This window comes from Homo sapiens, chromosome 14 (assembly GCF_000001405.40).
Source record: "Homo sapiens chromosome 14, GRCh38.p14 Primary Assembly".
NCBI lineage: Eukaryota > Metazoa > Chordata > Mammalia > Primates > Hominidae > Homo > Homo sapiens.
The window spans coordinates 92,161,523-92,172,400 of NC_000014.9; the positions used below are offsets into that span (position 1 = coordinate 92,161,523).

General features: G+C 38.2%; 1 protein-coding gene across 4 annotated transcripts in view; it reads left to right on the forward strand.

Moving 5' to 3' along the window:
• The window catches only part of CPSF2 (cleavage and polyadenylation specific factor 2), a 50,177-nt gene extending 39,554 nt beyond the window's left edge, over positions 1 to 10,623 (forward strand). For all 4 annotated transcript variants that reach the window (NM_001322272.2, NM_017437.3, NM_001322270.2 and 1 more), the window contains one exon: positions 130 to 10,623. In NM_001322272.2, the coding sequence (NP_001309201.1) occupies positions 130 to 222 (93 nt within the window). In that variant the 3' untranslated portion in view covers positions 223 to 10,623. The remainder of the gene's footprint in view (positions 1 to 129) is intronic.
• Positions 10,624 to 10,878: the final 255 nt, after the last annotated feature.

Sequence of the window (10,878 nt, forward strand, 5' to 3'; positions counted from 1 at the left end):
ATGCTGTGAATCAGAGCAACCCATGTCCTGACCAATCATAAAGTAATCTATTTCATATATTTCGGTTATTATGTCTGCATATTAATGAATAGAAAATGTACTAAAGAATTTTTTTTATTTGGTTTCTAGACGGAAACTGGACGCATTGGATTAGAAGGCTGCCTTTGTCAAGATTTTTATAGGATAAGAGACCTTTTATATGAACAATATGCCATTGTATAAAGGACATGATGTCAAGAAGTATCTGCTTGACCTTTCTAAGAAAAAGGGATTCTTATCTTACTCTGAGCTTTTGATGTTTTGTTTTGTAACATACAAAAAGAATCTGCCAGAAAAACTTACATGTATCAGATTTTTAAAAATATAAATAGAGAACATTTTGCAAATGCTCAAATGAGCATTCTATCTTTTGGCTTTCAGAGTGATAGAGCTCCTAACAGGTGTACAGGCCCAAGAGTTGAAGGTGATTGGTTTTCTTTACAGACTCCTTGTTCTCTAGAAGGGCTTTTTACTTGAATAAAACAATGCAACTTAGCAAACCAATTTATGGCCTTAGAGAAACATTTTTGCATGAGTTCTTACAAACTGTTTGTTATATTTTCTGGAATGATAAGTGAGAATTATTTAGAAAAGACATGCTCCAAAAAAAAAACAAAACTGATAAAACAGTTTTTCGAAACTTACTTTTAAAAGCATACGTGCTATGACTCTCTCCAGTTTGAATATGCAATTGTTTTCACAGGCAGGATGTCTGTTTTCTGCCTGTATTTCCCAGTGATTTACTCTAGGGTAAGGTAGTACACATTTGGTTCAGAAATTAATTTTTATTTCTCCTATATCTTGTTTTATCAAGATTTTGTTGTGGCATTTCAATGTAAATTATAACACCATCATTTGAGTATACATAATTCAAAAGAACTACTTGATGCAGTATAGTCTTAAGGGTTCTGCATACATTTTAGAAACATCTTAGCCGTAAGTTAGGTCCTGTGTTAAACTGTTTAGTGCTCTGTTTTTAAGAAAACAAATGTTGAACCTCACACTTTTATGTGGTGACAGTGTAATTTAATTAAAAGGTGTAAATGTTTTCATCTCTTAGGCTTGCTGTCTCCTAAGGTCACCCAAGCAGTGGTTGGATTTTATACACATTACTACTAAAATAATACTGAAGTTGGATAAGGTTATCCTTTCTGTATTTGCGTCTTTCTTGTGACTAACCACCCTGATATAGTATTAACCACTGTGTTCAAGAGTAAAAACAATATATGCAATTTTCATTGAACTTAAAGAGTGAAAACCATGTAAACTATTGAAACTATTGTAATCCATTAATGCTTTTTTAGAATGGCAGACCTTGATGTTTATTTCTCAAATGGTTAAGCCCTCTTCTTTACTCTTAATTTTTTTTTGAGACAGAGTCACCCAGGCTGGAGTGCAGTGGTGAGATTTTGGCTCACTATAACCTCTTCCTCCAGGGTTCAAGTGATTCTCCCACCTCAGCCTCCCAAGTAGCTGGGACTACGGGCACATGCCACTGCACCTGGCTAATTTTTATATTTTTGGTAGAGACAGGGTTTCACCATGTTGGCCAGGCTGGTCTCAAACTCCTGACCTCAAGCGATCCACCCACCTAGGCCTCCCAAAGTGCTGGGATTACAGGCATGAATCACCACAACTAGCCTACCCTTAGATTTTTGGAAGGATCGATCTTATTTAACTATGTGTGGAACAACCCAGTAATATCAGACTCGAATTACTATTTCATTCTATTTCAAATGCTTATAAAGCTACTATTGTAGATTATAGTGTTAATGCAAAGTTTACAGACTTTTGATATGGAAAACCAGATAAAACAATGTTACAAAAGGCAAATATAAAGAGTATGTTTTCTTTTTAGTGCTTTGGAAAAATTTCACTTAAACTCTTATTACTGTATAGATTAAGCCCTATAATGCTATTTATATTCCAGGGGAACGAAAATCTGAATTTGTTTTATGATTTAAAGCATCTGGTTTGCATATTGTATTGTAATACTGATACAGTTTGGCTGTGTCCCCACCAAATTGAATTGTGTTAATAGTTCCCATAATCCCTACGTGTTGTGGGAGGGACCCAGTGGGCAGTAATTTAATCATGGTGGTGGTTACCCTCATGCTGTTCTTGTGATGGTGAGTTCTCATGAGATCTGATGGGTGTTTTTTTTTGTTTTGTTTTTTGTTTTTTGAGATGGAGTTTTGCTCTTGTTGCCCAGACTGGAGTGCAATGGCACACGATCTCGGCTCACCGCAACCTCTGCCTCCTGGGTTCAAGCGATTCTCCTGCCTCAGCATCTCGAGTAGCTGGGATTACAGGCATGCACCACCACGCCCAGCTAATTTTGTATTTTTAGTAGAGACGGGGTTTCTCCATGTTGGTTAGGCTGGCCTCAAACTCCCGACCTCAGGTGATCCGCCCGCCTGGGCCTCCCAAAGTGCTGGGATTACAGGCGTGAGCCACTGCTCCTGGCCCAAGATCTGATGGTTTTGTAAGGGAATTTTCCCCCTTTGCTTGGCACTTCTTCCTGCTGCCATGTGAAGAAGGATGTGTTTGCTTCCCCTTCCACCATGATTGTAAGTTTCATGAGGCCTCCCCAGCCTGTGGGACTGTGAGTCAATTAAACGTGTTTACTTTATAAATTACCCAGTCTCAGGCAATTCTTTATAGCAGTGTGAGAACAGACTAATATGAATACCAATACTGAAAAATTGTTTCTTGCCTCACCTTGTCCTATGAACAGGAATTAAATTTTAAAGTATTGCCTTAAGATGGCTGTGCTAAATAATAATCATTGCAAGAGCAATACTTTTACCTGTTTCTAGATGACAATATTACTAAAATTTCTCAAATGAAGACTTTGTTTTAGCTTCAATTACTTCAGAAAATATAAATTTTAAAGATGACTATGAGATAAATCATGAACTCAGTGGAATTTTCAGATGAGATGGGGCGCGTTCAGGGTGGTATGACTGTAGACGGAATTTTCAGATCTTTGTTATTTAGAAGCAAGTATAGGTATAACGTGGACTATCAACTGATATCTGCAAATAATTTGGTTAAAATGAAATTTGATTGTAGTATTTGTTGCTGTAGGATTATAAATGTCAAATATCATTGTAAACATTTCTATATTTTTAGAAATATCTTGGGTGGCCTGAAACAGAAGTGAGGAAATCAATTTTTTAAGGTGAGCCATTTGGCTTTTTTAAAAAATTGAGATTCAACTTACATACCATAAAGTTCACTCTTCTAAAGTGTACAATTCATTGGTGTTAGTATATTTACAGAGTTGTACAACTATTACCACTATATAATCCCAGAACACTTTCATCACTCCAAAAAGAAACACCATACCCACTACCAGTCACTCCTCATGCCCCCTTCCTATGACCCCTGGCAGCCATTAATCTACTTTCTGTCTCCTTGAATTTGGATTTTCTGGACACTTCATAAAAATTGAATAATACAATATATGAACTTTTATGTTTGACTTCTTTCACTTAGCATAATGTTTTCAGAGTGCATCACTGTTGTAACATGTATCAGTACCCTTTTTGTGACTGAATATTATTCCACCGAATGGATATACCACATTTTACTTATCCATTCAACCGTTGATGTACATTTGAGTTGATTCCAAATTTTGGCTATTAAGAATGCTGCTCTGAACATTCATGTGCAAGTTTTTTTTTTTTTGTATGTACATATGTTTTCAATTTTCTTGGATATATATCTAAGAATTAGAATTGCTGGATCATACAGTAATTCTGCTTAACCTTTTGAGGAGCTGCCAGGCTGTTTTCCAAAGTGGCTACAACATTTTGCATTTCCACCAGCATGTGTTTGAGGGTTCCATTTTCTCCTCATTCTTGACAACATTTATTACTCCCTTTTTAAATTTTAGTCATCATAGTGTGGGTGAAGAAGTGTCTCACTGAGGTTTTGATTTGCATTTCCTTAATGACTGATGATGTGGAGCCTCTTTCCATGTGTTTATTGACTTTTTATATATTTTGGAGTAATATCTGTTCATATCCTTTGTCCATTTTCAATTTGTTTATGTTCATATCCTTTGTCCATTTTCAATTTGTTTATCTTTACTGTTGAGATGTAAGAGTTTTTTTATATATTTTCTGGATACTAAACCATTATATATTGATTTGCAAGTATTTTATTCCATTCTGTGGCTTGTCTTTTCACTTTCTTCGTAGTGTAGTTTGAAGCACAAAAGTTTTTAATTTTGATAAAGTCCAGTTTGTTTTTTTCCCTTCAGTTCTTTGTGCTTGGTTTTATATCTTTTTTTTTTTTTTTTTTTTTTTTTGAGATGGAGTCTTGCTTTGTCACCCAGGCTGGAGTGCAGTGGCGCGGTCTCAGCTCACTGCAACCTCTGCCTCCCAGATTAAAGGGATTCTCCTGCCTCAGCCTCCTGAGTACTGGGATTACAGGCACCCACCACCATGCCTGGCTAAATTTTTGTATTTTTAGTAAAGACATGGTTTTGCCATGTTGGCCAGGCTGGTCCTGAACTCCTAACCTCAAGTGATCCACCAACCTTGGCCCCCAAAAGTGCTGAGATTACAGGTGTGAGCCACCTTGCCTGGCCTTGGTTTTATATCTTAAAAGCTATTCCTTCATTCAAAGTCACGAAGGTTTACACTTAATTTTTTTCTATCTAAAAAACCATTGCTTCATCTAAAGTCATGAAGATTTACACTCTTTTTTTTTCTAACAGTTTTACAGTTTAGGCTCTTATCATTAGGTCTTTCATTTATTTTGAATTATTATCATTATTATTATTTTCTTTTTGAGGCAGGGTCTCACTCTGTCACGCAGGCTTGTGTGCATTGGTGCAATCACAGCTCACTGCAGCTTCAGCCTTCTGGCCTCAAGCAGTCCTCCCACCTCAGCCTCCCAAGTAGCTGAGATTACAAGTGTGTGCCACCATGCCTGACTAATTTTTAAAATTTTTTTGTGAAGACAGTTTCTCACTCTGTTGCCCAAGCTGGTCATCTCAAACTTCCAGACTCAAACAATACTCCCACTTTGGCTGCCCAAAGTGCTGGGATTACAGGCATGAGTCACCATTCCTGGCATTAATTTTTGTATATGGTGTGAGGTAGGGGTCCAGTTTCATTTTTTTGCATGTGGATATCCAGTTGTCCCAGCATCATTTGTTGAAAAGACTATTTCTTCATTGATTTTTTTCTGCCACCCCTGTTTAAAATCAGTTGCCCATGAGTGTATGGGTTTGTTCCTGGACTTGAAATTATGTTTCATTGATCTATATATCTATGCTAGTACCACATGTCTTCATTACTGTAGCTTTGTAGTAACTTTTGAAATTGGGGAAGTGTGAGTTCCCCAACTTTAGTTCTCCTTCAGGATTGTTTTGGCTATTCTGGGTCTCTTGCATTTTCATGTGAGTTTAGATTCTGCTTATCGATTTCTTTTTTTTCTTTTTTTTTTTTTTTGAGATAGCATCTTGCTTTGTCACCCAGGCTGGAGTGCTATGGCTCAATCTCAGCTCACTGCAACCTCCGCCTCCTGGGTTCGAGAGATTCTCCTGCCTCAGCCTCCAGAGTAGTTAGGACTACAGGCGCGTGCCACCATGCCAGGCTAATTTTTGTATTTTTAATAGAGATGAGGTTTCATCATGCTGACCAGGCTGGTCTCGAACTCCTGACATCAAGTAACCCGGCTGCCTCAGCCTCCCAAAGTGCTGGGATTACAGTCGTGAGCCACCATACTCAGCCTAAGATTCAGCTTACCAATTTCTGCAAAAAAGCCCACTCATTTTTAATAGGAGGTAAAAAGCAGTTGACATTTATAACTTAGAGTCTTTTAATGTTAGTGCTGAAAGGGACTAGAGAGCTCATCTAATTCAACCCACTTATTTTAGTATTGAATGAATGACCCTGTACAAGGAAAGGGATTTGCTTGAGATCCACACAGCTGTTTAAAGGCAGAGTTGGGATTGGAACCAAGTCTTAGAGAATCCATTGTTGCTTCTACACTGCATTATTGCTTTGGTTCCCTAGTGTACATTCACTTTGCTTAGGAGTGATATGTTCAGTTTATCTTCTCTAAGAATGGCAGCTGTTATTTAGGACAGTGGCATGCTGAGAAATAGATTGATTTCTATTCTATACTGTGTCCAGTAAAGGTCGGGGGAGAAAGAGTAAATCTTATCTTCTTCTGTACTTTTCTTTGATTAATGTAAGAGTCTAGAGTTTTATCAGAAGATTATTGTCCTTTAAAATATTGATGGACTGATTATCACTTAAAGGGTATAAACAGTGGGTAGTAATTCAGTGATTGAGAGGTTAATTGCAGGTTTTTTTTTTTTTTTTTTCTGGTAACCATAGAATGAATGTAGAATGAATTTGGATTCAATAATGGGAACTAAGGTCAGGCGTGGTGGCTCACACCTGTAATCCCAGCACTTTGGGAGGCCGAGGCGGGTGGATCATCTGAGGTCAGGAGTTCCAGACCAGCCTGGCCAACATGGTGAAACCTCATCTCTACTAAAATTACGAAAAATTAGTCAGGTGTGGTGACGGGTGCCTATAATCCCAGCTACTTGGGAGGCTGAGGCAGTAGAATCGCTTGAACCCGGGATGCGGAAGTTGCAGTGAGCCAAGATCACGCCACTGTACTCCATCTTGGGCGACAGAGCGCAACTCTGTCTCCAAAAAAAAAAAAAAAAAAGGGCAGGGGGAGCGGCTAGAGAAGGAACATTCAAATCTTCCCACGTGGGCAAGTTCCAAGCAAATGTTTATTTTTTTACCTCCTCTTTGGTTTTTGTCTCACTTGAAGCACTTTGTGTTTATGGGAAAATACCAAAAATTACCAAAATTTAAAAACCCAGGGCTTTGCTGGAAGTGAGGGTATCTTCTTGGCTTTTCCCTTTTCCTCCCCACCACTATACGCACATGCACACACAGCTCTATTTTTTGGTGCTTTTCGTTCATTATTCACTCCATTTCATTTTAGCTCTTGAAGTCAAAATGGGATTCCAAAGAGCAAAATAGAAGTTTGGAGAGTTTGAAATCTCTCCTCGTGGCTGGACGCCGTGGCTCACACCTGTGATCCCAGCACTTTGGGAGGCCAAGGCAGGCATACTGCTTGAACTCAGGAGTTCAAGACCAGCCTGGGGAACATGGTAAAACCCTGTCTCTACAAAAAATAGAAAAATTAGCTGGGCATGGTGGCTGTAGTCCCAGCTATTTGGGAGGCTGAGGTGGGAGGATCACTTGAGCCTGGGGAGGTTGAGACTGCACTGAGTCTTGAATGAATGAATCCATCTCTCTTTCTCTCTCCATATAGTCAAAGAGAACCAAAAATGTATGTGCTTTTTTTGTGAAATTGTTAAGGATTCCATGATCCTACTAAAATTTTTGATAATGATAATTTCAAGTGGAGAATATATAAAGGACTCGTGAGGCCTTCCTACCTCATTTTCTGAGGTTATGTTGACTTTAATATCCAATGTATCATAGGTGTTTTCTTTTTTCTCTGACAATTGTTATGTTAAAAACAAAAAGAAGCACATACTGTACAGTCAAAACTATCAGACGTAACTCTGTGGGAAACTTTATTCCAAGGGTGCTGCCACTGCCCTTGTTTTAAATATTTTTGGAACTTCATTTCTCTTCAGGTCTATTTAATAAGCTTGTTAGGAATATTGTAAATTATTTTAGAAACACATTGTGGTCTCAGCCTCATGTGGCATTGCCACTTGTTACTACATGACCCCCCCACACCCCCTAAAAAAGAAAAAGGACTTTAAAAACCCTCTCAGGACAAACATTTGCTACCGTGGTTGATTTTTTAATTTTACATTAACTATTTAATATCAGACTATAACTAAAATACAAGTAGTGGAATTATACTTTTATAAAGTATCAAATTATGTAGATGATGACGAAGTTATAAGGTTACTATAATTTCCAACTTCACCCATAGGTCATGGTATAGTTGAAATTTCATATTTAAATATCAAAACATAAATGTCTAAAGAGATTGTGTAAATTCTTTATCAGTTATAAGGAAAAACCAAATTCAAATTCTTAAGGTTTTTCTTATATGTGATTTTTTTTTTTTTTTTTTTTTTGAGACAAACTTGCAGGGAGAGAATTATGTGGCATGAGGAGGATTGAGAATGTTGTTCATTTTATCTAATTACTGCCTATTAAGAAAAGCTTCACATTTATTTCAGCTATTCTATTGAATACTTTTACCTAAGATAATGAAACCGTTAAGTAGAGATTTTTCTAATAGTATAAAAATCAGTGTAGGCCCAGCACAGTGGTTCACACCTGTAATCCCAGCACCTTGGGAGGCTAAAGGCAGGAGGATTGCTTGAGCTCAGGAGTTTGAGACCAACCTGGGCAACATAGTGAGAACTCATCTCTATTAAAAATCAGAAAAATTGGCCAGGTGTGGTGGCTCATGCCTGTAGTCCCAGTTACTCAGGAGGCTGAGGCAGGAGGATCCCTTGAGATTGAGGCTTCAGTGAGCTAATGATCGCGCCACTGCACTCCAGCCTGGGTGACAGAGTGAGACCCTGTCTCAAAAACAACAAAAATCTCAGTGTGACAAATTCCTAACAGCTCAAATACTACTTGTCTTATTTGTTAACTATTTTGAAATAATTTTAAACTTACAGAAAAGTAGAATAGTTCAAAAGATCCTGTATATCCTTCCCCTAGATTCTTCTATTGTTAACATCTTGCCATATTTTCCATACCACTCTCTAGCTATGTATTCACATTATTTTTTGAACTGTTTGTTACTAAGTTGCAATTGTGATGTCCCATTAGTACTAAATACTTAAGTGTATACTTTTTAAAAACAAGGACACTCCTACATAACCACAGTACTTAAAATCAGGAAACCAGCATTGATAAAATTCTACCATTTGATCCACGAACCCCATTCAAATGTTGCCATTTACTCCAAAAATATCCTTACAATAACCCTTTCCTTTTTTGGTCCACAGTCCAATCAGGATGAAGCACGCATTTAGTTACATTTTCCCTTTAGTCTTCCTCAATCTGGAGCGGTTCCTTGGTTTTTCCTTTTTTGTGACCTTGACATTTTTGAAGAATGCAGGCCAGGTACTTTGTAGAATGATGTGCACTTTGGGTTTGTCTGATATTTCCTCAAGATTAGATTCAGGTTGTGAATTTTTGGCAGGAATACCAGAGAGGTGATGCTGTCTTCTTCTCTGCATTGTATCAGGAGGCACATCATGTCAATTTTTTCCATTACTGGTGATGTTAATTTTTAACAGTTGGTTACGATGTTTTCAAGATTTCTCCACTGTTAGTATTTTCTCCACTTGTATTTGTTTTTTGGTATAAACTTAAAAAGTACAGCATGATGTTTTGGTATATGTATCCATAGTGAAATGATTATTACAGGTATTAATTAATGAGGAATTACGTATTTTGTGGGTAGCTATTTTGAGACTCTCAATATCCTATTTCTCAAAATTTTACCCTTTACTTTTAGCATCCATTGATGATCCTTGTCTGGATCAGTTATTGCCAAATGGTAGTTTTCTTTTCTTTTCTTTTCTTTTGAGACAGTGTCTTGCTCTGTTGCCCAGGCTACAGTGCAGTGATGAGATCATAGCCCACTGCAGCCTCAAACTCCTGGGCTCATGCCATTTTCCCCTCAGCTTTTGGAGTTAGCTGGGACTACAGGCATGCATCACCACACCCAGATTATTTTTAAAGTTTTTGTAGAAACGGGGTCTCTTCTTCCCCATTTATTCAATATTTATATCAGTATAGAACATGGGTCCCTGTTTTATCATCTGTAAGTTATGATTTATTTTGATGCCCCCATTGTCCAAGATTTGACTAGCGAGAGCACTTTCCAGCTAGCTCCTGTGTCCTTTGGACATACCCCATGGTTCATTGAGCACTTCCTTGCTTTCTGGCACCACAAGATGTTCCAGGCTCGTCTTCTATTTTCCCTACCCCGCTCCTGACATCAGCCATTTCTCCAAAGAGTCCTGGTTCATATTAGTGGAGAATGGTATTTAAAACCAAGATCCGGATGCTAAAGGCTGTGCTCATTGCCCCTGTGCTAGCATTGCCACTGTGCGTTCTCCCAGTGGACAAATTTGGAAATATATGCGTCTATGCTTGTTACCTCATCCATCCATATATATATTAAAAACAAGTACACACTGATACCTATTTCACATCTACTCCACAGAGTTTATTCTAGTCTTCTCCCTTTCCACAATTGTATCTTCTCCACCCTATATTTAAAAACTGGACTTCCAGAGTCTCCAATACATTGGCTTATTTGTTCATTTTCCCTGTGATTAACCAACCTCCTGACCACGTGGCTGGCTCCTTTGCTCCATCTCTGCCCCTCACCCCCTACCGTACATCACTGCTGTGAGGACCAAGTTTCCTCCCTTTCCTCGATCCATGACAGCACCTGCCAGTTGAACCCCACAGTGGGAATTTTAAAGAAGGCACTTTTGGCTCAGATGGCAGTGCCAAAGCAGGCATTCCAATTCACATGGTGCTCTAGCAATTGTGAAATAAACAGATTCTGAAGGTCTGTCCTGGACTGTGTATAGTCTTTGGGTTTTTGTCTTGCTTATTTTGTTAAAATGTTTTCCTGATGACTTTCTATTCTATAGTAAAGCCTTATACATAATGTTCAAGCAGGCGTCAGACAAAATAATGATCATTGTGGAGAGGAGTTAGGAAGGAAAAGATGAAAAGGAAGAAGGCGTAAACCCAATATTGAGAGGAGAAATGGGTACGGCAGGAGTAGCCGTCTGAATCCGAAATGCTGTCTGAGCCAGGACAC